At 45.5% G+C, this 26324-nt stretch overlaps 1 protein-coding gene and 1 non-coding gene across 16 annotated transcripts in view, besides 3 other annotated features; one reads left to right on the forward strand and one right to left on the reverse strand.

Annotated features, from left to right (window-relative positions):
- TRAF3 (TNF receptor associated factor 3) overlaps nucleotides 1-26324 on the forward strand; it is a 134052-nt gene that overhangs the window by 1268 nt on the left and 106460 nt on the right. Inside the window, exons 1-2 of one of the 15 annotated variants that reach the window (XM_047431738.1) lie at nucleotides 17406-17677; nucleotides 17950-18075. The exons of 13 other annotated variants lie outside the window; for them this stretch is intronic. The gene's annotated coding sequence lies outside the window, so the exon portion shown is untranslated. Of the gene's footprint in view, nucleotides 1-17388; nucleotides 18076-26324 lie in introns of those variants that run through there. One more of the 15 variants, XM_017021617.2, reaches the window with a different exon arrangement.
- Nucleotides 4282-4434: a silencer, noted in NCBI's record as "fragment chr14:103249335-103249487 (GRCh37/hg19 assembly coordinates)". NCBI's record gives its function as "represses an EF-1alpha promoter that drives an FKBP-Casp9 reporter gene in an ReSE screen in phorbol 12-myristate 13-acetate-treated (for megakaryocytic differentiation) K562 erythroleukemia cells {active_cell/tissue: K562(+PMA)}" and the evidence as "EXISTENCE:reporter gene assay evidence [ECO:0000049][PMID:32094911]".
- LOC124903426 (small nucleolar RNA U13) lies at nucleotides 10775-10875 on the reverse strand. Its single transcript, XR_007064409.1, has one exon. It is a non-coding gene; the product is annotated as a small nucleolar RNA U13 (small nucleolar RNA).
- Nucleotides 11752-11821: an enhancer, noted in NCBI's record as "active region_9083". NCBI's record gives its function as "activates an Ori minimal core promoter by ATAC-STARR-seq in GM12878 lymphoblastoid cells {active_cell/tissue: GM12878}" and the evidence as "EXISTENCE:reporter gene assay evidence [ECO:0000049][PMID:35858748]".
- Nucleotides 20102-20151: an enhancer, noted in NCBI's record as "active region_9084". NCBI's record gives its function as "activates an Ori minimal core promoter by ATAC-STARR-seq in GM12878 lymphoblastoid cells {active_cell/tissue: GM12878}" and the evidence as "EXISTENCE:reporter gene assay evidence [ECO:0000049][PMID:35858748]".

The raw sequence follows: 26324 nt of genomic DNA on the forward strand, positions 1-26324 counted from the left end.
TTTTTTTTCCTAGCATTTGCTGCGACTACACACTGCCGGAGCGTTTGGAAATGTTGTTTGCTGTTACCCTGTATTTGTCTATAAAATTCTTACTGTAGGGAATGGCCAAGTGGACCATCAGTTCGTCCTGAGATCTTCTCATGTCTCTCACGTCTTTGAAAATGGCCTGTGAACAGACTGCATCATATGTAGGATGTCTGGCAAAATAGTGTACAGCGTTCTTTTCTCAAATGAGAGGAAATGTGTACCTTTTCGCCGCGTTGTGACAATGTAAATGTTAAGAATTAGTCTAAAGATGAAAATTCTTTGGCCAAAACAAGATAAGCCTTATCGATATGAAAACTGGAAAACATCACATGGGACTGGAAATCCTGTGAGTGGGTGCTCATGACGGAAACCCTGACAGACCTTGGATTCCAGCATCGCTGGTGAAAATCAGACCTTATCATGGATAAGGGTTAAGATGTAAGGTGTCTCACCCAGACGCCATCTGTTCCAGCTGTCAATGCAGAAGCCAGGAAAGGAGAGAGAGCTGGCCAGGGAGAATTCCAGCTTTTTTTTTTTTTTTTTTTTTTTTTTTTTGAGACATTCATGTGAATTTCTCTGCGAGGGGAAAGAAGACCAATTATTTTCCTTGGATGCTGTCCCTTCTTTTGGAATTAATAAGATGGCTTCACTCAGTGAGAGGCTGTAAAGACATTTCACTGGAAACAGGCAGTAACAGTGGCCAGTTGTTTCTGTTAATACCATCAAAATATCCCTACTCTTGTTTGTGCCTTGAAGAAAGTCCTTCATTTAACTGAGACATCTGAGCCTGCGTTGCGGATTCTGATTCTCTAAATACTCCTGCAAGAATCCCTTTAATTTTTCACTGTGCAACTCAAGAAGGACCTTTCTAGGGTATTGTCAGGATACGTATGCTAATGATATTGTCAGGTTAGGTGAGAATGATTGATCACTCCCTTAAAATCCTTTTTTATGATGTTAAAGCTGTACTTTAAGAAAGATAAAACTGCCACTGTGGCGTTGCAAGTCTGAGCTAGCTCAAGCAAACAAAGGAAATTGCGTTAAATTTGCCCAACTCTATTTTCTCATCTTCATATAGCAAGACTCTCCAAACAGCAAGTGATCTAACCTATCAAGTATTATGCAATAGCTGAATTTCCTTGCAATGGTCAGTTTAAAGAACTGTTAACTTAGCAGAGGCGACGTCTCGTGGCCAAGGCCCTTAGGGTCCACTCCATGGAATCAGGACCCCTTGCTGCTGCTTTGCGAGTGTTCATGGAGGAAGAAAAATCACTTGGTGTTCTTTTTTTGCATGGAAGAGTCATAATAACTGACTTCAGATACAGAGAAAGTGGGAAGAGTGAGAAAGAAGGAGGTGAGGCCAGAGGATTTGGAAGGCTACCAGAGAGAAGCAGCCGAGGCCTGATTGTGGAAATGATGCTTAGACTTGCTTTCAGCAGGAGTGATGAAGCCAGAATGAGGGAGGCCCAGACGCCCGGGAGAGGTACAGGGGATAGGTGCCATGTGGTTTGCACCACCGCAGCAGGCTTTGGGTCCCAAAGACGCGAATGGAAATAGAAGAAAATGCAGTTTTAAATAGAAAAGAAAAAAAAAACCGAGAAAATGTTATGTGTGCTTGTGTAAAATTTATTATTCATAATTAAAATACAAAATGGCTTTCTCATTTGAGAAAGCCTTTATTGACTAAGTTCTGCACAACACTATTCCAGGAAAGGGGGTGGGGAGACAGACCACCCTAGGGAGAAGGCAGAGTTTTTTACTATTAAGCATAATACCTTTTTTTTTTTTCTTTCGGTGAAGCTTATTGTCGGCCTGTACAGATGACTTGGAGTAGGCTGGCAGGTAGTGGGATGTCATAAATGTTGATGCCTGTTGGTTTCTATCAACTTTAGGAATCAGGTTGGAATCGATGCTGCATTCTGTATTCCTCGAGATAAGTGGATTGTTAATTGGGACTTGGGAGTCTTTTTCTCATTTAATTAATATTCAGTTAATGTGCCCTGAGTTCTCATAATGTTCTGGTTACCGTGCTGGGAAGAGTGAGACACAGCACCCATCTGCTAGGGTGTGATTTGCAGGGATATAGGCCATCTTGGCCCCTGTGCACAGTGAAGGGACATGCCAGAAACCAGCAGATACTTGACTGAGACAGACCAGGACAGGAGCTTGTGGCAGGAAGGATAAGGAAAAATGCAAATCTACCATCCTGCCCTCAGGGTGCTAACCCTTCGGGGGAGAATACTTTCTCCCACCAGGAAGAAACCAGAAAGTAAAAATGTAGGATGAAATGAATTAGTGGATTGTGTAGAATTCTGGAAGCGTGGTGGGAATCCACCATAAGGGAAAGAGAAAGTCTTCTGGGAAGCGGCGTTGAGTTGAGGCCCAGTGTCAGGAAAGCTCTGGTATAGTGGGGCCATCTGGTCCCTCTTACAGGGCCCCCTCCCACTTTGTTTTGGTAAGATGGGATCTGACGGCTTGCCATCCTGTCACTCCTTGCCAGTAGATGCAGTGCTGGCCATGCTGCTGGTCATTGGGTTTCCAGTTGGGAAGTTGCATGTGCTGGCCTTTGGCTCTTGCCAGGCAGGGCCTTTTGTGACTGGGAGCTCATGTGGGTCATGCATACTGTACTGTGAAGGGCATGGTCTGTGGAGGGGAACAGAGCAGCAGGCCCTAACCTGGGTGGCACCACTTTGCTGTCCCTACCATTTTTCATTGCAGGTTGAAAGTCTCCAAAGTGGCAGGGGAAGGGGTGTAAATGTTAAACAGCCCCTTCCTAGCCTGGCATGCGCACCTGTGGTCCCAGTTACTCCAGAGGATGAAGTGGGAGGATCATTCTAGTCTGGGTAACACAGTGAGATCCCTGGCTCTAAAATAAATTTATTTATTTATTTTATTTTATTTGAAACAGGGGCTCACTCTGTTGCCCACGCTGGAGTGCAGTGGCCCGATCTCGGCTTGCTGCAACCTCCGCCTCCTGGGTTCAAATGAGTCTCCTACCTCAGCCTCCCGAGTAGCTGGGATTACAGGCGCCTGCCACCACGCTTGGCTATTTTTTTTTTTTTTTTTTGAGACAGAGTCTCACTCTGTCACCCAGACTGAAGTGCAGTGGCGCGATCTCAGCTCACTGCAACCTCCACCTCCTGGATTCAGGTGATTCTCCTGCCTCAGCCTCCTGAGTAGCTGGGGACCACAGGTGTGTGCCAACATACCTGGCTAATTTTTGTATTTTTAGTAGAGATGGGGTTTCACCATCTTGGCCAGGCTGGTCTCAAACTCCAGACGTCAAGTGATCCACCTGCCTCGGCCTCCCAAAGTGCTGGGATTACAGGTGTGAGCCACTGTGCCCAGCCTTCCCAGCTGATTTTTGTATTTTTTAGTAGAGACAGGGTTTCGCCATGTTGGCCAGACTGGTCTTGAACTCCTGACCTCAGGTGATCCACCTCAGCCTCCCAAAGTGCTGGGACTACAGGTGTGTAGTCCCACCACACTCGGCCTATTTGTTTTTTTTGAGATGGAGTCTTGCTCTGTTGCCCAGGCTGGAGTGCAGTGGTGCAATCTTGGCTCACTGCAGCCTCTGCCTCCTGGGCTCAAGCAATGCTCCTGCCTTAGCCTCCTAAGTAGCTGGGACTACAGGTGCTTGCCCCCATTCCCAGCTAATTTTGTATTTTTAGTAGAGAGCGGGTTTCACCCTGTTGGCCAAGCTGGTCTCAAACTCCTGACCTCAAGTGATCCACCCATCTCAGCCTCCCAAAGTGCTGGGATTACAGGCGTGAGCCACCGCACCCTGTCTTGGCTCTAAAATTTAAAAAAAGTCCTTTCCCCAACCTACTCCTCTGTCATCCATGTTTAAATGACCTAAGTCTCCTTAATTCTCAAGAACTGAAAAATTGGGGGCCCTACATTTCATTTCACAATTTACTTTTTTACTACGATTTGTTCCATGCTGATTTCGAGCATTAAAAAAAAAAAAAAATTAAATGGAGGCTATTTGGTGGTAACTTCTCATGAGGCCATTCTACCAAGAAAGATATGGCGACCTGCTGCTTGGACATTCTGATTTCCTTTCCAGCTGAAACACTGATTCTGTGGCAGAACCCAAAAGCGTATTTATTGGAAACTTGATTTCTTTAAGTGGAAAGAAAAGCTAAATTGATTAACCAAGTGGGGTAATATAATCTGTAAGGCAACAGTAGCATCAAAGTGGTGAAATGTGAATCTCCAGGAGTCATGAGAATTGTAATGAAGGTTTCCTGAGATTAATTTTGTGTTCTGGAAGGTTAATGCCCGTTAGGAGGCCTGCGTACACAAGGTAATGAGGTGCTCGTTAGGCCTTCCCTCCTTCCACCAAGGGCCAGGCACATGGTAAGCTCTGGGTCAGTGTTTGTGTCCAGATTCTGCAAGCCGGGGAGACAGGAGGGATGTGCCAGATGCCCACAGTGGTTCCATGTGTTTGGAATGTGTGTCGGCACTTGGGTGTGCCTTGTAGCTGCCTCCTTTAACGGTGTGTTCCTGGAGGTCAGGCTTCCATCCTCCCGTTCTGATAATGCTTAGCTCCAGGATTTGTTGCATTATGGGGGTTCTTTGATGGAAAGTTTTATTTGACAATGTAATTTTCTTGGATGCTTTTAATGACTTAAAAGCTGGAAGAACAGGAAAACTAGTTCTCTTGAGCTCTTTCATGTCCAGTAATTCCCAGAAATTATAACTTTATGCTGGAAATTAAACCTGCTATTTGAAACCTTATTACAGGGTGAATTAAGAGTTTAGGTTTCAGAGGCTTTTCTGTGTGACTTTCCCCTTAGTGGGAGGGGGTTTGGTATGCCCATTAAGTTTTATCTTAAAATTTAATGTGAATTTTACATTGTACTCAGTAACGTGGCTGATTGTTTTAATATAAACTTACTTCGTTCCCTAAATCTTTCAAAACTGTTGATTCTCCAAAAGATGTATTGTGTTTCTGGAATCCCACTGTGTATCCCTGGAGCTGTCCACCCCACAGCTGGAGAAGTGTGGCATGGTGGAGGGTACCAACTTTGAGGATCTGAATTCCAGTCTGCCCTCTGTATTTAGTGGTAGAATGACCTTGGGCAGGCTGCTTGGCCCCGCTGAATTGATGTCCCTATCTATAAAATGGGGCTACTAGCACCAGGGACATCACTTGCTTATTATGAGTAAGATGGATGGGAAAGCATTGTGCAAATGTTAATTTTCATAGTATTAGGGGATTGAGATGTAACAGAGTAAGAATGTTAAGATCTTACAATGTAAATATCAGATCTTGTTAGTTAGGGACCACAGAAGTTTTCTAGTTGAGGTCTCTTATTTTATGTGGGAGGCAGCTGAGGCTCTCAGTGTTTAGGTAAGTAATTCTCCCAAGGCAAATAATGACAAAGCAAGGGCTCTTCACGCAGGATAGGTTTTTCCCTGCATTTTTCCTGTTCCCAACGTTTGCTCCTGGGAAGATGCTTGGCCTTTTTTTTTTTTTTTTTTTTTTTTTTTGAGGTGGAGTTTTGCTCTTGCCCAGGCTGGAGTGCAGTGGCACGATCTCGACTCACTGCAACCTCCGCCCCCTGGGTTCAAGCTATTCTCCTGCCCCAGCCTCCTGAGTAGCTGGGATTACAGGCACCCGCCACCTCGCCTGGCTAATTTTTGTATTTTTAGTAGAAACAGGGTTTCACCACGTTGGCCAGGCTGGTCTTGAACTCCTGACTTCAGGTGATCTGCCCGCCTCGGCCTCCCAAAGTGCTGGGATTACAGGCGTGAGGTACTGGGCCCCTCTGATGCTTGGCTTCTGATTCCAGCTAGGGTCAATTGAGAATTATTGAATCACCCACACTTTCTTTGAGAACTTTCTAAGTGCTAGGGGCTATGCTCGTTGCTAAAGCTAAAAAGTCAGATAGGATGCCGTCTGATCTCTGTTTTCAAGGAGCTTCCATGTGATGAATGAGCCAGAAGAATAATTTCATTATGGCACCATGTAGTAGGTGCCACAACAGTGGAACAGAGGCTCTGGTGCATTGTGGAGGCGCTGTGCAGTTTCAACCTGGGTTAGGAGGAGGCGTTTCCCAAGGAGGTAACTCTTAGGGAAGCTAGCAGCAGGAGTGGGGAAGCCTGGGCTGGCAGGGAGTCGCCTGGCAGAGGGCCCGTGAGTCGGAAGGGGTTCTCCTGTGGCTGTCCTTCAGGGGAGAGGGTACAGGAAAAGGCACCCGGCCACTTCTGGGTGCTGCCTTTGTGACAGCCTAACTTCTGAGGCAGGAATTCTCCCCATTTTGCAGATGAGGAAAAGGAAGAGCAACAGGCCTGTTGGACCCCAGAGTTCATGGTTTCACCACAGCTGAATTACAGTGCAGTTTTAGATTTTCTTCAGATTCTAAACTTCTTAGTTTTGCTTTCAGAGTAGACTTAGTTTTGCTGCTGTAGAGTGCTTTTTAAACAAATTGTGTATTTTTCATGCAGCCTTTCCCTTCCATCCAACATCTGTTTTGCCTATATGGCTGATACTCTAGGCCGCACTCCGTTCCATCTCTGGCGTAAGTTCCTTTCTTACAGCAGCCTCCTCGGATTCACTCTCCTTTGACACATTTGGATGGGAGGTTCTTTACGCAGTGGCTCAGATGCTTCTTACAGCTTGCTGAGTAACAGTCCCTAACCTGATTTGCTAATGTGTTTTCTTTCTCCTTTCTCTCTTAATTTACATTTAAACTGGTAGTCTAGTAATAATGATAGTATTTAGTCATTGTGTCTTACAGGGTTTTACAAACATTAGCTTGTTAGTGATGAACAAGTCCCCAAGGCCTGGTCACTCTGCAGAGAGCATAATGGTTGCAGGCTAGTACCTATTCATCTTGAATTTAATTATAACTGCAGATTGCCTGTGGAAATATGAGTTAAAGGCATGGAAGCCCTTACCACTGTTAGCAGGGAAATGATGTTTGGCTATTTTGGAGAATACTTTAGCTCTTCTGTGAGAACCACTGTCAAGGTTTTGAACGTGCAACCAGGAGGGGTCAGTGGTGGCTGAGCAGAGATGTAGGGGCTTGTTTCATGGCCATTTGTACCTGCTCCAGGAAGGGCTGTGAATAACGGAATGCAGCCAGACACTGAGGCCACTAGGTCAGGTCCTTGGGATGACAGAGGGTAGATTTCTTTGTTCTTAGACCTAAGTTGGCCCTTGTTGGGTGGAGGTGGTGGCGTGAGAGCCTTCCCTGCCTTCTCCAGGTTGAAGGATATTTCTGTGCATCTGGGATAGGTCTCTAGGGTTGAGACGACAAGCTTCTCAAGGGTTGGCTCACTTCATTCTTTCTATTTCTGCAGTCTGGTCTATGATGTACACAGTAAAAAGGAGATCAGTTTATGTATGGAAGGAATTAGACCTGCTTTGAATTCTGGTCTGTCCTTCAGCTAACTATGCTGTTAAATTACTCTTCCTTTCTAAGCCTCAGTTTTCTCATCTATGCAAAGGTAACTGTAGAGTTCACAGTCACGTGGAAAAGCCTCTGAAACCTAAATTCTCCCTCTGGAGATGGATGGTGGTGATGGTCGCACAACATTATGAATGTATTTAATACCACTGGACTATACACTTAAAATGATTACAATGATAAATTTTATGTGTAATTTACCATAATAAAAAAGTAATTGTGAGACTTAAAAGTGAGCCTGGGCTGGGTGCGGAGGTTCATGCTTGTAATCCCAGCACATTGGGAAGCCGAGGTGGGTGGATCACCTGAGGTCATGAGTTCGAGACCAGCCTGAACAGCATAGTGAAAACCCATCTCACCTAAAAATACAAAATTAGCCGGGCGTGGTGGCACATGCCTGTAATTCCAGCTACTTGGGATGTTGAAGCAGGATAATTGCTTGAACCCGGGAGGCAGAGGTTGCAGTGAGCCAAGATCGTGCCATTGCACTCCACCCTGGGCAACAAGAGTAAAACTGTCTAAAAAAAAAACGAGCCTGTGCCAGGTGCAGTGGCTCATACCTATAGTCCCAGCACTTTGAGAGGATGAGGCGGGGGGATCGCTTGAATCCAGGAGTTCTCAACCAACCTGGGCAACATAGTGTTATAAGACCTTGTCTCTACAAAAAATTTAAAAATTAGCTGGGTCTGGTGGCGTGCTCCTGTAGTCCCATCTAACTACTCAGGAGGCTGATGCGGGAGGAGTGCTTGAGCCCAGGAGGTCGAGGCTACAGTGAGGTGTTACTGTGTCACCATACTTCCGCACTTTAGCCTGGGTGACTCAGTGAGATCCTGTCTCAAAACAAGAACAAGAAAAATCAGAGCATGTGAGAGAATATAAGAACCTAATATTTCAGAAGTGATCATTTCTCTTCCCCTTTCCTTTCCTGAGTGGTTTGATAAAGGGAATGACTTATTAGCAATGTGGATGACAGGCTGTCTTGGAAGTATGGCCTGTCCCTGGAAGAAATACCGGTGGGAGTAGAAGGACATTATTGGACTGCAAATAAATTATTTATAAAAAGGGTAAAATGTCTAGAAACTGAAATCACAGTATATTTGCACAAAAGGAACATCTATAGATATCTCCCTTTTTAAAAAGCAATTTTAACATATGAATTTTTATATATTTAAATTCGTATTTTAGCACTTTTTTTTCTGTTATTTAGCAATAATAATATTCTTCAATTTGGGCTGGGCGTGGTGGCTCACGCCTGTAATCCCAACACTTTGGGTGGCTGAGGTGGGCGAATCACTTGAGGTCAGGAGTTCGAGACCAGCCTGGCCAACATGGTAAAACCCCATCTCTACTAAACCAAAAAAAAAAAAAAAAAATTAGCTGGGTGTGGTGGCACATGCCTGTAGTCCCAGCAACCTGGGAGGCTGAGGCAGGAGAATCGCTTGAATTCGGGAGGTGGAGGTTGCAGTGAGCCGAGATGGCGCTACTGCACTGCAGCCTGGGTGACAGTGAGACTGTCTCAAACAACAACAAAAACAACAACAACACTTCGATTTATTCAGGCCTCTGTTCACATTTTACCTCTTCAAAGGGGTCTTCTGAACACCCTAATTAAACAGCCCATGCTGTTGCTGTGGTCACTTGCCTTGCTTTTTTTTTTTTTCCATAGCAGAAAATGGTTTTCCTTTCCTTTTTCTTTTTTTTTTTTTTGAGATGGAGTCTCCCAGTCACCCAGGCTGGAGTGCAGTGGTGTGATCTTGGCTCACTGCAACCTATGCGTCCCAGGTTCAAGCCATTCTCATGCCTCAGCCTCCCGAGTAGCTGGGATTACAGGTATGCACCACCCCACCTGGCTAATTTTTGTATTTTTTTAGTAGAGACAGGGTTTCACCATTGTTGACCAGGCTGGTCTCGAACTCCTGTGCTCAAGGGATCTGCCCGCCTCAGCCTCCCAAAGTGCTGGGATTACAGGTGTGAGCCCCCACACCCGGCCTGCAGAGAATGTATTTCTATTACCTTAACCTGTGTACTAGGAGTGTGCCTGGCATATGGTAGGTTCTCAAGTATTTGCATAAATGAACCAGTATATTATAGCCCAATGTTTTATTGAGGCAAAATTCACATAACATACAATTAAGCATTTTAAGTGTGCAGCTCAGCCGTATTTAGTGTATTCACAATGTTCTGCAACCACCAGCTCTCTCTAGTTTAAAAATCAGGCCAGGCATGGTAGCCCGCACCTGTAATTTCAGCATTTTGGGAGGCTGGGGTGGGAGGATCACTTGAGTCCAGTAGTTTGAGACCAGCCTGGGCAACAGAGGAAGACTCCATCTCAACAAAAATAAAGAATTAGCTTGGTTGGGTGTGGTGTCTCACGCCTGTAATCCCAGCACTTTGGGAGGCTGAGGCGGGCGGATCATGAGGTCAAGAGATCAAGACCATCCTGGCCAACATGGTGAAACCCCGTCTCTACTAAAAATAGAAAAATTAGCTGGGCGTGGTGGCGCATGCCTCTAGTCCCAGCTACTCAGGAGGCTGAGGCAGGAGAATCACTTGAGCCCAGGAGGCAAAAGTTGCAGTGAGCTGAGATCACGCCACTGCACTCCAGTCTGGGAGACAGAGCAAGACTCCATCTCAAAACAAAACAAAACAAAACAAAACTGGGCACAGTGGCTTGAGCCTGTATGTAGTCCCACCTACTCCAGAGGCTGAGGCAGGAGGATCGCTTGAGCCCAGGAATTCGAGGCTGCAGTGACCTATGATCACACCACTGCACTCCAGCCTGAAGGACAGATGGAGAACCTATCTCTTAAAAAAGAAAAACAACTTTTCATCCCCCTTTACCCATTAAGTAATCACTCCCATTCCCCAATCCTCCCATCCCTTGATAACCTCTAATCTGCTTTTGGTCTCTGTGGATTTGCCTATTTTAGATATAGCATCTAGGAATCATATAACTTGTTTTTTGTATCTGGCTGCTTTCACTTAGCATGATGTTTTTGAGGTACATCCAAATTGTAGCATGTGCCAGTATTTGTTCCTTTTTATTGCTGAATCATAATCCATTGTATGTACATACATGCCACAATCTGTCTATTCATTTGTTCATGGGCATTTGGATTATTTTCACTGACTATTAAGAATAATGCTGCTATAAACATTTGTGTACAAGTTTCTGTGTAGGTATGTTTTTATTTCACTTGGGTATATACCTAGGAGTGGAATTGCTGGTCATACGGTAATATCGTGTTTAACTTATTCCCACCAGCAGTGTTCCAATTTCAGGACATCTTTGCTAAATTTATTTTTTTTGTTTTGTTTCTTTTTCATGTCATATGGGTAATGTGCCGACGTCATAACAAGGTTTCAGAGTGGCACCTCTCACACCTTCATTTGAATACCCAATCACACTTATGAACTACAAAAGGATATATGTGTGTGTGTGTGTGTGTGTGTGTGTGTGGTATGTGTATATGTATGTATATATTTTTGTTTAAAGCTATTCTAGTTAAAGTGGTATCTCGTGGTTTGGGTTTGTATTTTCTTGATGAGCAAAGATATTGAATGTCTTTTCATGTGACTCTTGGCCATTTGTGTATTTTTGGAGGGAAGACAATGTTTGTTGAGTTCTTTATATATTCTGAATGTTAAACTTTTTTTTTTTCTTCTTTTTTTTGAGACCGAGTCTCCTTCTGTTGCCCAGGCTGGAGTGCAGTGGTGCAGTGGCATGATCTTGGCTCACTGCAATCTCCGCCTCCTGGGTTCCAGCAATTCTCATGCCTCAGTCTCCTGAGTAACTGGGACTACAGGCACACGCCACCATGCCTGGCTAATTTTTGTATTTTTAGTAGAGATGGGGTTTTGCCATGTTGCACAGGCTGGTCTAGAACCCCTGGCCTCAAGTGATCCACCCACCTCAGCCTCCCAAAGTGTTGGGATTATAGGTGTGAGCCACTGCACTCAGCCTCTTCTGAGTTTTATTGTTTTAGTTTTTACCTTTAGGTTTTTGATCCATTTCAGTTAATTCTTGTATATGGAATGAGATAGGAGTCCCAATTCATTCTTTGTATGTTCTTATTTAGTTTTCCCAGCACCATTTATTGAAAACACTATTCTTTCCCTATTGAATCGTCTTGGCACCCTTGTTAAAAATAAATTGGCCATAGATGTTTGCATTTATTTCTGGACTCTCAGTTCTATTCTGTTGCTCTGTAAGTCTGTTACATCAGTACCACACTATATTAGTCTGTTCTCATGCTGCTAATAAAGACATACCTGAGACAGGGTAATTTATAAAGAAAAAGAGGTTTAATGGACTCATTGTTTCACATGGCTGGGGAGGCCTCACAATCATGGTGAAAGGCAAAGAAGGAGGAAAGGTATGTCTCACATGGCAGCAGGCAAGAGAGTCTGTGCAGGGGAACTGTGCTTTATAAAACCATCAGATCTTGTGAGACTTACTATCATGAGAACAGCACCCCCACGATTCAGTTACCTCCCCCTGGGTTCCTTCCCATAACATGTGGGGATTATATGAGCTACAATTCAATATGAGATTTGGATGGGGACACAGCCAAACCATATCACACACTGTTTTGATTACTGAAGCTTTGTAGTAAGTTTTGAAGTAGTAAGTTTGGGAAGTATGAGTCTCCCAACTTTTTCATTTTCTATATTGTTTTGACTATTTGGGGCCAGTTGCAACTTTATATGAATTTGAATATCACCTTTTTCATTTCTGCAAAAAAGGTCATTGGAATTTTAATAGGGAGGGGATTGATTCTGTAGATTGCTTTGGGGGGTTGCAATCTTAACAGTATTGTCCTCCAATCCATGAACGTGAGATGTCTTTTCTTTTCTTTTTTTTTTTTTTTTCGAGAGGGAGTCTCGCTCTGTTCCCCAGGCTGGAGTGTAGTGGCACAGTCTCGGCTCACTGCAACCTCCGCCTCCCGGGTTCATGCCATTCTCCTGCCTCAGCCTCCCGAGTAGCTGGGACTACAGGCACCTGCCACCATGCCTGGCTAATTTTTTGTATTTTTTGTAGAGACGGGGTTTAACTGTGTTAGCCAGGATGGTTTCAATCTCCTGATCTCGTGATCCACCCACCTCGGCCTCCCAAAGTGCTGGGATTACAGGTATGAGCCACCGCGCCCAGCTGAACTTGGGATGTCTTTTCATTCAATTATGTCTCCTTTAATTTCTTTAAGCAATATTTTGTAGTGTTAGTGTACAAATCATTCATCTCTTTGGATAAATTTATTTCTGGGTGCTTTATTTTTGTGGGTTCTATTGTAAATGAAATTATTTTCTTACCTTTCTTTTTGTATTGCTCATTGCTGGTATATAGAAACAACTGATTTTTGTATGTTGGTCTTATGCCCTACAACCTTGTTGAATTTATTACCTCTAGTAGTTATTTTGTGGGTTCTGTGGGATTTCTTTATACAGAATCATGTCACCTGCATATATAATTTACCTCTTCTTTCTAATTTGAATGCCTTTTATTTCTTTTTCTTGCCTAATTGCTCTGGCTAAGACATTTAGTAAAATTTTGAATAGGAGTGATGAAAGTGAGCATCCTCATATTGTTCCTGATCTTAGGGGAAGCTTTTCACCATTGATTATGAAGTTAGCTGTGTTTTCTTTCTTTCCTTTTTTTTTTTGTTTTTGACACAGGGTCTTGCTCTGTCACCCATGCTGGAGTGCAGTAGTGCAATCATGGCTGACTTCAACCTCTGCCTCCCAGGCTCAAGCGATCCTCTCACCTCAGCCTCCTGAGTAGGTGGGACCAAAGGCACATGCCACAATGCCCTGCTGTTTTTTTTTATTTTTTATTTTTGGTAGAGATGGGTTTCGCCATGTTGCCCAGGCTAGTCCCAAACTCCTGAGCAGTCAGCCCACCTTGGCCTCCCAAAGTGCTGGGATTACAGGTGCGAGCCACTGTGCCTGGACTTTTTTTTTTTTTTTTTTTTTTTTTTTATCAGACCAGGTCTCACTCTTTTGCCCAGGCTGGAGTACAGTGATGTGATCATAGCTCACTGCAGTCTTGAACTCCCAGGCTCAAGCAGTGCTCCTTCTTTAGCCTCCCCGGTAGCTGGGACTACTATAGGTGCAAGCTGCCACACCCTGCTAATTTTTTAATTTTTGTGGAGACAGGGTCTTGCTGTGTTGCCCAGGTTGGTCTCAAATTCCTCACCTTGAGCAGTTCTCCTGCCTTAGCCTCCCAGGTAGCTGGGATTACAGGTGTGCACCAATATGCCCAGTTAATTGATTTTTTTTTTTTTTTTTTTTTTAGTGATGGGGTCTTGCTGTGTTGCCTAGGCTGATCTCAAACTCCTGGCCTCAAGCAGACCTCCTGCCTCAGACTCCCAAAATGCTGGGATTACAGGTGTGAACCACTGTGCCTGGCCACTGACTTTTTTTTTTTAATGGAAGGTTGTTGAGTTTTGTCAAATGCTTTTTGTGCATCTTCTGAGATGATCATATTTTTTTCATTGTTCTAGTAATGTAGTGTATTGTATTGATTTTGTTTTGTATGTTGAATCACCCTTGCATTCCTGGGATAAATCTCACTTTGTCATGGTATATAATCCTTTTAATGTGTTGTTAGATTGAGTTTGCTACTATTTTGTTGAAGATTTTTGTGTCTATGTTCATTAGGAATATTAGTCTGTAGTTTTCTTTTTTTTTTCATTTTTGAGACAAAGTCTTCCTTTGTCACCCAGGCTGGAGTGCAGTGGTGCGATCTCGGGTCACTGCAACCTCAGCCTCCCCAGTAGCTGGGATTACAGGCATGCACCATCATGCCTGGCTAATTTTTGTATTTTTAGTAGCGACAGGGTTTTGCCATGTTGGCCAGGCTGGTCTCGAACACGTGGTCTCATGTGATCCACCTGCCTTGGCCTCCCAAAATGCTGGGATTTACAGGCATGAGCCACTGCACCCTGCCTGTAGTTTTCTTTCCTTGTGATATTTTTGACTTCGGTATCTGGGAACCAATCTTTTTTTGAGACAGGGTCTTACTCTGTTGCCCAGGTTGGAGTGTAGTGGTACGATCTTGGCTCACTGCAGCCTTGGCCTCCTGTGCTCAAGTGGTCCTCCCACCCAGCTGCCTGAGTAGCTGGTACTACAGGCACTTGCCACCACACCCAGCAAGTTTTGTTCATTTTTTTTGTACAGATGAGGTCTCACTGTGTTGCCCAGGCTGGTCTTCGACTCCAGGCCTCAAGTGATCCTCTTGCCTCAGCCTCCCAAAGTGCTGGGATTACAGGTGTGAGCCACTGCTCCCAGCCCCCAGTTGTATTTTGACTGTGCATCATGTTTCTTCAGAATTTTGAAACCTGCCCTCTCCTAATTGAGAAAATTCTAAGAGGGTTTCCAAGCAGACAACCCTAACATCTCTGGCTGGGATGATGATGATTGTACCATGTACTTCCCCTCTTCTCAACACAGACACATTCATGTTGTAGTGCCAGCTGTAAGCATAGGAGTTGCACTTAATGGCTTACAGCTGGGGAAAATCATGGCTGATAGCACACCACCAGTGCAGGATCAGGGAAGGGAACTCTATTCCTGATGCCAGGACAGGAAAGAGATGTGCTTCCTTCATTTCATGAAAAAGCCACAGATTGTTCCGGATAATGGTTGCTGAATAAGAAACCACCCTAAACATCAGTGATTTAAAACAGTAATCTACTACTACATCTCATGGTTCTGTGGGCTGATCAAGCAGGGCTCAGCTGGGTGATTCTTCTGCTCCATGTGGCCTTGATGGAGGTAATTTATTGGTATTCATCTGTTGGCTGGTCCAGTCATGAGGGTCCAAGAGGGCCGTACACACATGCTTGGATGGTTGGAAGGCCAGGCTCAGGGGATCCTCCCTCTCCTTGTGCTCTCAGGTCCTCTGCAGATGGCCTTTCTCCTAAGGTGGTTGTGCTTCTTACATGACAACTCAGAACTCTTAGAGTGAGTGTTCTAGGAGAGGAAGTGGAAGCTGCCAGTCTCTCTCTCTCTTTCTTCTTTTTTTTCTTTTGAGATAGAGTCTCACTCTTTTGCCCAGGCTGAGTACAGTGGTACCATCATAGCTCACTGCAGCCTCAAACGCCTGGGCAGAAGTGATCCTCCCAGCCCAGCCTCCCAAGCAGCTGGGACTACAGGTGCATGCCACCTTGCATGGCTAATTTCTTAGTTTTTAACTTTTTGTAGAGACAAGGTCTTAACTACGTTGCCCAGGCTGGTCTTGAACTCCTGGGTTCAAACGATCCTCCCACCTTGGCCTCCCAAAGTGTTGGGATTACAGGCGTGAGCTACTGTGCCCAGTCTGGAGCTGCCAGTATCTTAAGCCTGGGCTTGGATATCAGTGTAGCATTATTCCTGCCATGTTCTAAAAAGACACAGAGTCCTCCTATATTTGAGGAGAGGGGACATGGACCCTAACTCTTGATGAAAGGAGGGTCGAAGAATTTGTGACTGTCCTTGATCTGGTATACGCATGGTGGCTAGATTCCATAGTGCTCTCAGTAATATATGTTAGATACCCATTTGAAAACTGTTGTGGATTAAAATGGAAATGCCAACTGTTGTGTGTTACTCATTTTCAGTGAGTACATTCTGTGTTCTGAATCAATAATTTCTAAAAAACTTTTGGAGTATACCTATTCATAAAATAATTACCTCTATAAAATGTATGTCTTATCAGCAGCCATCCTTGATCATGTGTTTGTCAAGTTTTTCAAGTACAGCTTTGGGTCCATACGTTTTTTCTTCCTATTACTAGTTCATTTTAAAAATTTGTTGAAACCTTCCCTTTTATTTTAAATAATATTGTGGGGTTTTAATATTTCTCTCTGTTCTTAAAAAAAGCTTCATTGAGAAAATATAAGTAAGCCTATATATCCTAAAGTTCCTTTCCTTTACTCTAGATCATTCTAGTAAATCCCCTAGAGACAGTTCTGGCTGTTTATATATAAAAGTGTGGTATAATTTGACAGTGTGTGCAGAGGTGTGTATGGATGTGCTCTCACATAGAAACCCTGCCTCCCCAGCCTGTCTCAGCTGATTGTTGCAACACTGAGCCGAGCAAACATGATGAGGTCACAGAGAAGTGAGGGAGTGGTTTTAAATAATGAAACAGGAAATCTCTGTCTTTGGCTCCAGTGGTGCCCCAGTGTTTTGGGATTAATGAGGGAAGAGCTATGTCTGCCTGTGTTCCATGAGTGCCCCTTGCTTGTACCTCTATGGAGAACCCCAACAACCCTGGCTGGAAAGCCACCTAATCCTGTGTTTCCCAAGCATAACCTCCCTTTGTTCCCAAGTAAGTCTTTCCTAGACACCTGAACTTCTGTGCAACATAGGCATGAATGAGGAGAGTGAGCTACTGTGGTGTTATATATATACACACACATATATACATGATATGTATGCATGATATGTATATATGTGTGTGTGTGTGTGTGTGTGCATAGTTTTCATCCATTGTTTCTGACTCATAAGTCCCATAGCCCTTGTTACAGTCTTTTGTTGTAATGTTGGGTGTCTTGCCTCCTTTCAGCTGCCCAAGGCAGGACTCTAATCTGACTGTGAGTCAGAAGACCCTTATTCCAGAGAGGGCCCTGCCTCATTCCCTAGAGGCAGGAATGCTGCACAGAGAGGCCAAGATAAGTCCGAACAGACAGGCCTTGCTGGGTTTAGATCATGGTTTTTTGTCCAGAAACATTTCTAGATGATTGTAAGTCATGCCTGTGTAATGAAGCCACCATAAAAACTCAAGGACAGGCCGGGCATGGTTGCTCACGCCTGTAATCCCAGCACTTTGGGAGGCTGAGGCGGGCGGATCACCTGAGGTCAGGAGTTTGAGACCAGCCTGGTCAACATGGTGAAACCCCATCTCTACTAAAAATACAAAAATTAGCCGGGTGTGGTGTCGGGTGCCTGTAATCCCAGCTACTTGGGAGGCTGAGGCAGGAGAATTGCTTGAACCCGGGAGGTGGAGGTTGCAGTGAGCCGAGTTGCACCATTGCATTCCCACCTGGGTGACACAGCAAGACTGTCTCAAAAACAAACAAACAAACACTCAAGGACAGCGTTCAAGAGCTTCCAAATGGCGGAACACGTGGAGGTTTCTGAGGATGGCCCGAGGGAGGGCATGGAGGCTCCCGCCTGGCCTCATACCTCGCCCTTTGCGTCCCTTCATCTGTGTCTTCTGCAGTATCCTCTACGATATACCGGTAACTGTAAGTACATATTTCCCTGAGTCCTGTGAGCCACTCTGGCAAATTAATCGAATCCAAAGAGGGCTTGTGGGAACCCCAACTTGAAGCTGGTGGGTCAGAAGTTCTAGAGGCCTGGACTTGCGACTAGTGTCTGAAGTGGGGATGGGGGGTGGACAGCCTTGGCGACTGAACCGCCAACAGCTTTGTTCACGCAATTCTTCTGCATTGGCGATTGTTGTCAGGTTGTGAGAGCAGGGGAAAAACACAGGTTGAGAGAGTTTTTCCCCAAACAGCCCCTGGTCGATGCCCCGGAATGACTGGCTGCTGCATGGAATTGCAGAGGCCTGAGTGCCTCTGCTTCTACCGTGATTCCTGAGGCCAAGACCTCTGGTCTGCATGGTCTGAAGTCTCTTACGAAGGTAAAATGTTATGTATATATTTTGAATAAGGGTACCTGTTCCTCATTCTGTCCTTTTGAATTCCAAAAGTGTGTTGGCCTGTGAGATAGCATAAGGGACAGAATCATTGCTCTCGTGAGCCTTTGGGCTTGCTTCCTTAGGCACTACGTACTTTCTCATTCCCCATTGCCTTCAGGATTCTTTCTGTCAGAATGTAGTGGCTGTGGCCTGGGGGTGACCAGCATAGGGGCCAAAGAAGGGTAATGAGTCTTGAGGCCTACAGAGGGTAGTAGGCAAGGCGGGAGGGCAAGGGCCAGGGGGCAGCATCATTCACACAGTTGAAAACGTGCCCTTGGCCTGTCTCCTCTCTGTGTTCTGCATCTTAGAAAATAGATATTGTCTTGTGTTAAGATGAATCAATATAGTTACCCCTTTTTATATTGTCTTAAGCTTCTTAGGAACTGCTTTGTATTTTAGTCACTCAGGCTTGGAGTGAAACATGTAATGTGTAGTTCAACCTGAAAAAATTGGTCTGAGAGGCGTCTTCATAGAGTCCCCAATTCTATATATGATGAGGTCTCATCAAGCTTTGACATTCTGCTCTTTTACGTGTAACACTACTAATGTAAATGTTTCTGGATTGTAAAGAATGGTGGGAAGCGTAGAGATTATCTGTTGGTAAGCCAGAGGCAGGAGGAAGAGGAGGAGGAGGAGGAGATAGTGGCGTCCCTCCTGCAGAAACCCCGCAGTGGAAGGACAAGATTGCAGGAGGAGTTAGAGACCAGTGGTCTAGTCCCCATCTGTCTTTGTGACCTTAGGCAAATCATTGAATCTCTTTGAAAGCCTTGTCTCCTTGCATGGCATATGGAGATTATAGTTGCTGTGAAAATAAAATAATCAGTTTTTAAAAATCCATAAAAATGAAAAATGGTATTTAAGGTTGAAGGCACTTGTATTTCTTTTTCTTTCTTTTTTTTTTTTTTGAGATGTAGTTTTGCTCTTGTCACCCAGGCTGGAGGTGCAGTGGCGTGATCTTGGCTCACCGCAACCTCCGCCACCCAGGTTCAAGCGATTCTCCCGCCTCAGCTTCCCGAGTAGCTGGGATTACAGGTTTGCACCACCACGCCTGGCTAAGTTTGTATTTTTAGTAGAGACAGGGTTTCACCATGTTGGTCAGGCTGGTCTCCAACTCCTGACCTCAGGTGATCTACCTGCCTCGGCCTCTCAGAGTGCTGGGATTACAGGTGTGAGCCACCACGCCCAGCCTAGGCACTCGTATTTCTTAGTCGGGAAAGAGAGGACAGGATATGTCCACCACACATTCACCAGTTCAGCATGTATTAACTACTGTGTGCCTGACTAAGCTTAGGTACTCAGTGTATTTTCATGTAAAGAAAAACAACATTTAAAACATTTAAGTGAGCACTGACCAAATCTAGCTTAGTTCAGAAAACCCTTTTTTTTTTTTTGAGACTGGGTCTTGCTCTGTTGCCCAGGTTGGAGTGCAGTGGTGCGATCACAGCTCACTGTAGCCTCGACCTCTCAGTCTCAAGTGATCCTCACTTTCTAAGTTTCCAACATTTTTTGGGCCAGGTACGGTAGCTCACACCTGCAATCCCAGCACTTTGGGAGGCAAAGGTGAGCAGATTGCTTGAGTTCAGGAGTTTGAGACCAGCCTGGGCTTTATGGAGACCTCATCTCTATAAAACAAATATAAAAACTAGCCAGGTGTGGTGGCGTGTGCCATTAGTTCCAGCTCCTCAGGAGGCTGAGGTAGGAGGACAGCTTGAATCTGGGAGGCAGAGGTTGTGGTGAGCTGAGATCGCACCACTGCACTCCAGTCTGGGCGACAGAGCGAGACCCTGTCTCAAAAACAAAATTTTTTTTGTAGAGATGGGGCCTCTATGTTGCCCAGGCTGGTCTCAAATTCCTAGGTTCAGGTGATCCTCCTGATTCGGCCTCCCAAATGGCCGGGATTATAGGCATGACCACTGTACCCGGCCTCAGCAGACCTTTGTAAAGCACTTCATGGGTGCCAGTCCTGCTGTTACAGTGCTAGGTAAATGCATAAAAATGCTCCATGAGGCATTCTGTGTTCTCAGGAAATTCAGACTGCCAGTTTCAGTCTGGAACGTGACACTTTATGAAGGAGGCAATAGAACAAAAAAAGGACAAATTACAGGATTAGTAATTATCAAAAGCTAATACCGAGGTCAGAATAGGACTCTTGTTCAGTTTACATGAGGAATTTAACCAAATGAGCTTCTGCAGAGAACCAGCATTAGGGTGGTGACCAGGCTGGGGTACATACATGTCATATCAGAAGTGACCTGAGACTGGGTGTGAGAAGCAGTGGCTGATTTGGACTACTGAAAGCAGAATTAAGAGTCTGGTGGCATTGGGGGGAGATTAGTGCTGTGGAAGTCCTGCTCAGAGTCTTTCTCATGATGGGTACATTTGGGAGGAGCTTAGCAGACATCAGAGGACCTGCAGAGAGTTGACACAGCGGGAGGAACCAGCTGCACTACCACTCATGTTCTTTTCCATCTTAGCATCTCGTGAGCATAATTCAGAATACACAGTTTGATTAAGTATGTGCAGATTCCATTCAGTTCATGAATTCATTCCCACAGTGTAGCCTAGCCCAAGTGTTAGCACTTCTTTACTTGTTTTTGTTGTTGTTGTTGTTTGTTTTTTTGAGACGGAGTTTCACTCTGTCGCCCAGGCTGGAGTGCAATGGTGCGATCTCTGCTCGCTGCAACCTCCGTCTCCCAGATTCAGGCAGTTCTTCTGCCCCAGCCTCCTGTGTAGCTGGGACTACAGGCACATGCCACCATACCTGGCTAATTTTTGTATTTTTAGTAGAGATGGGGTTTCACCATGTTGGTCAGGCTGGTCTTGAACTCTTGCCCTCAAAGGACCTGCGTGCCTTGGCATCTCAAGTGCTGGAATTACAGGCTGAGCCACTGCTCTTGGCCAAGCACTTCTTTTCTCATAGTCTTCTGCTAAGTATTTCCTTCTGTCAGCTGCCAGGCAGCAATAGTTTTCACATTTGTTTGTGGTTGTCCTCTAGAACTTGGCCTTTAGTGTGGTATGTGTAGGATTTTGTTGATTCCAAGGGAGGGTGAAAAATGCTGTGATCCCCAGAACCTGGGATGGCTGGGGTATGTTGTCTCTGAGGAATTTAATAACATTTTGTGGTCATTGCTGGAATCTTCCTAGACTCCTTTGATGGAAAGTAGGGACTCCAAGGGGAACTCCTGACTGGGCTTGCGGGCTGCCTTCTCAGAGCCCTACTTTATTAGTGATTTATTTCTCTTAATGGGCTATTAGAAATGACCACAAAAACTGAGGCCCCCACCCATACAATTTCTATCAGTTAAGACCCTGGAAATTCAGATTTAGAGGGAATTTTTAAAGAACTCCTGGGAGTGCTGATGCCCTGCTGGACTGGGAGCCTCTGGTCCAGTGGAAGCAGCACATTCCCTCCAGGAGCCCCAGTGCTTTAGGAATGCAGTTTCCCAGGCCCTGCCTCAGACCTGCCGACTCACAGTCAGCTCTCAGAGAGGCTGTTAGGTGATCATTGCGTTCATTTAAGTGTGAGAAGCACCGTGCAGGCTTTGGGTGAGAGAGTCGGGGTTCATACCTTGCCTCTCTTCTTTCCCAGCTGCATGAACTTGACCAAGTTATTTGGCCTTTCTGAACCAGGACCGTAGCACATAAAGTGAGTGCGATGGTGCAGGCCCCAGTTCCTCAGCCACAGTGCTGAAACCCCAGAGCCTCTGAAAATGGAATGTTTTTTCATAGATTTGGTGCCACTTGGCCTGAACTTATGTGAGGCTATTTATAATCTCTATTCCACTTAATATGAATATTTCATTATTTTACCACAGATGGTTAATTAACATGTTTCCTGTTCTTTTCCTTTTTTTTTTTTTTTTTTTTGAGAAGACTCTTGCTCTGTTGCCCAGGCTAGAATCAGTGGTGTGATCAAAGCTCTCTGCAGCCTTGAACTTCTGATCTCAAGAGATCTTCCCACCTCAGCCTCTCAAGTAGCGAGGACTACAGGCTTGTGCCGCCACACCCAGCTGATTTTTTAATTTAAATTTTGTAAAGAAAGGGTTCTGGCCGGGCGCGGTGGCTCACACCTGTAATCCCAGCACTTTGGGAGGCCAAGGCGGGCGGATCACGAGGTCAGGAGATCGAGACCACGGTGAAACCCCGTCTCTACTAAAAATACAAAAAATTAGCCGGGCGCAGTGGCGGGCGCCTGTAGTCCCAGCTACTCGGGAGGCTGAGGCAGGAGAATGGCGTAAACCCGGAAGGCGGAGCTTGCAGTGAGCGGAGATCGCGCCACGGCACTCCCGCCTGGGCGACAGAACGAGACTCCGTGTCTTCTCACTTTGTTACCTAGGCTAGTCTCAGACTCCTAGACTCAAGTGATCCTCCCACCTCGGCCTCCCAAAGTGCTGGGATTACAGTCAAGAGCCACCACACCCGGTGAATTAATGTGTTTTCTTATGGTTACTGCCTCAGACTTCCCTGGAGTGTTATATAATATATAATATATAAAATATGCGTACAATATTTCCTTTCTAAAATTCAAAAAATTCTGAACTCTGAAACACATCTGGCCTCGGTTTTGGATAAGGATTGTGGTGCTATAGATACCCAGCTTATAGGTGGGTCAGTATATGCCATGTTAGTGTGTTGGTATGTGTAGAAAACTCTTGGCAGTTAGCAGGCACCCAACAAATGCAGCTATTTTTGTTTGTTTGTTTTGAGACAGTGTCTCACTCTGTCACCCAGGCTGAGGTGCAGTAGTACAATCACAGCTCACTGCAGCCTCGATTTCCTGGGTTCAAGTGATCCGCCCATGTCAGCTTCCCAAGTAGCTGGGACCACGAGTATGAGCCACCACACCTGCTTAATTTAAAAAAAATTTTTAATTAAAAAAATTTTTTTTGGTCTGCTGCAGTGGCTCACATCTGTAATCCCAGCGCTTTGGGAGGCCGAGGCGGGCAGATCACAAGGTCAGGAGATGGAGACCATCCTGGCTAACACAGTGAAACCCCGTCTACTAAAAATACAAAAAATTAGCCGGGCGTGGTGGCGGGCGCCTGTAGTCCCAGCTACTCAGGAGGCTGAGGCAGGAGAATGGCGTGAACCCGGGAGGCGGAGCTTGCAGTGAGCCGAGATCATGCCACTGCACTCCAGCCTGGGCGACAGAGCGAGACTCCATCTCAAAAAAAAAAAAAAATTTTTTTTTTTTGAGACGGAGTCTCACTATGTTGCCCATTCTGGTCTTGAACTCCTAGTGGTCGTCCCACCTTGGCCTCCCAAAGTGCTGGGATTGCAGGCATGAGCCATTGCACCTGGACTCATTTTTTTTTTTTTTTTTTGAGATGGAGTCTCTCTCTGTCGCCCAGGCTGGAGTGCAGTGGCGCAATCTTGGCTCACTGCAACCTCCGCCTCCCGGGTTCACGCCATTCTCCTGCCTCAGCCTCCCGAGTAGTTGGGACTGCAGGCGCCCGCCACCATGCCTGGCTAATTTTTTGTATTTTTAGTAGAGATGGGGTTTCACTATGTTAGCCAGGATGGTCTCAATCTCCTGACCTCGTGATCTGCCCGCCTCGGCCTCCCAAAGTGCTGGGATTACAGGCGTGAGCCACCACGCCCAGCCAACTGTTTAAAGACATTTCAAGCCAAGAGCAGAAGTTGTGTTAGAAGGTGGCTGTATTAGTCCAATTTCACGCTGCTATGAAAAAATACCTGAGGCTGGGCGCGGTGGCTCACGCCTGTAATCCCAGCACTTTGGGAGGTCGAGGTGGGAGGATCATGAGGTCAGGAGTTCAAGACCAGCCTGGCCAAGATGGTGAAACTCCATCTCTACTAAAAATACAAAAAAATTAGCCGGGTGTGTGGCGGGCGCCTGTAATCCCAGCTACTCAGGAGGCTGAGGCAGGAGAATTGCTTGAACTTGGGAGGCGGAAGTTTCAGTGAGCCGAGATCGTGCCACTGCACTCTAGCCTGGGCAACCGAGCAAGACTCTGTCTCAAAAAAAAGAAATACTCGAGACTGAGTAATTTATTAATATAAAGAAAAGAGGTTTAATTGACTCACAGTTCAGCATGGCTGGGGAGGCCTCAGGAAACTTACAATCATGGTGGAAGGGGAAGCAAACACATCCTTCACATGGTGGCAGCAAGGAGAAGTGCAGAGCAAAGGGGGAAAAGCCCCTTGTAAAACCATCAGATCTCGTGAGAACTCACTGTCACAAGAACAGGATGGTGGAAACTGCCCCCATGATTCAATTACCTCCCCCCAGGTCCCTCCCATGACACATGGAGATTATGGGAACTACAATTCAAAATGAGATTTGGGTAGAGACACAGCCCTATCAGTGGCTTACGCTCCTGGCTTGGCCTCCTGGCAGGCTTTTTATAGAGGGAGTGGGATCCTTGCTGGTTATGAAGGACTTGTGTTCCTTAGAGTTACAGTCTTGGAATGTCAGCCCTCAGCTTCTTGTTTTTCTTTTCACCCAGATGGTGCACATAAGGAGGCAGCGTGAGGTGGGGTGGTGGCTAAGGGCGTGAGTGCTGGTGGCAGGCTGCCTGGTCTGAGTGACCCTGGGTCTTGGGCAGTTACCTTCCGTGTGTCTCAGTTCTTTTACCTAGAAATAAGGATAATGGTACTTACCCCCTGGAGTGTGAGATGGAAAGCATTTAGCATAGGTAAGCTCAGTAAAATTTAGCAGTTTTAGTTATCTAGGACTATAATGGAGGTTAAGTTGGCCAGAAGTATAATTTTTTTTTTTTTTTTAAGAGACAGGGTCTCGCTCTGTTGCTTTGGCTGGACTCAAGCTCCTGGGCTCAACTGATCCTCCTGCTTCAGCCTCCTGAGTAGCTGGGTGTGCACCCTGCACCCAGCCAGAAGTGGAATATCTTGTTGGGGCTGGGCTTAGAGCTGGAGCTGGTGGCCGGCTCTGCTCGCTTACAGAATTCTGTACGGTTTCTGATTTCTCTCAGCCCATCTGTCCTTCACTTGCAAGCATCTGATGACTGCTGCATGTACCATAAAAACATGCAAATATATAATTCTTGGCTTTGAGGAGGTGACCCTATGAAATTGACTTAAAAAAGTTGGGCTGGATATAGTGGCTGGCGCCTGTAATCCCAGCACTTTGAGAGGCTCAGGCCGGAGGGTCGCTTGAGCCCAGGAGTTTGATACCCTGTCTGAGAGAGAATTAGCTGGGCATGTTAGTGTGCGCCTGTGGTCCCAGCTACTCAGGAGGCGGGGCGAGAGGGATCCTTCCAGGCTGAGATGTGAGGGTTCTTTGAGCCCAGGAGGTCCATACTGCAGTGAGCCATGATTGGGCCACTGCATTCTAGCCTCAGTGACAGAGTGAGACTGTTTAAAAAAAAAAACAAAAAAAACTTCAGAGGAGTCATATGATTGACTTGTGTGTGTCTACGCAGACTCCCTTTTCTCTGTAGAGACTTACAATCTTCAGTTCTCTGGAGCGTTCTTCAGATTCCCTTGCTCCATGACTGACCTTGGCTAGGAAAATAATTGGGCCGTTTTTGGTGCACAGCAGATGAAAATTATCAGTATGTCCCTAGCTTTCCACTGTGAGGCCGCCGTAGCAACAGAGGACAGTGGATGTGTGACTTGTACCCTTTCAGAGGGCCAAGAACGCAATATCCTAAAGCAGCCTTTTCTTTTTTTATTTTTTGAGTCAGGGTCTCACTCTGTTGCCCAGGCTGGAATGTAATGGCATGATCTCAGCTCACAGGAGCATCAACCTCCTGGGCTCAAGTGATCCTCCCACCTCAGCCTCCCAAGTAGCTGGAACTACAGGTGCAAGCCACCACACTGGATAATTTTTGTATTTTTTGTAGCGACAGGGTTTTGCTATATCGCCCAGGCTGGTCTTGAACTCCTGGCCTCAAGTAATCATCCTGCCCCAGCATCCCAAAGTGCTGGGACTACAGGCATGAGACATCACACCTAACCCTGTTCTTGATACCTGGTTTTTGTGGTCCTTTTTTTCTAAAATTCATATGAATTTTGAGTTCTGCTGTATGATATGTAATATATATGTTCTAATATTACAAACTTCTAAAAATCTTTCTGTGCACCAAAATTGATCCTCCAGGACAGAAAAAATGCCAGTGGTTCTTGTCTATACCACCATATTTTGAGGAACACAAGGAAAGATTTTGACCTTCCCTGGACGTAGAAGAATTTGTATTGTGATTGACACATCT

Source organism: Homo sapiens, chromosome 14 (genome assembly GCF_000001405.40).
Source record: "Homo sapiens chromosome 14, GRCh38.p14 Primary Assembly".
Taxonomy (NCBI): Eukaryota; Metazoa; Chordata; class Mammalia; order Primates; family Hominidae; genus Homo; species Homo sapiens.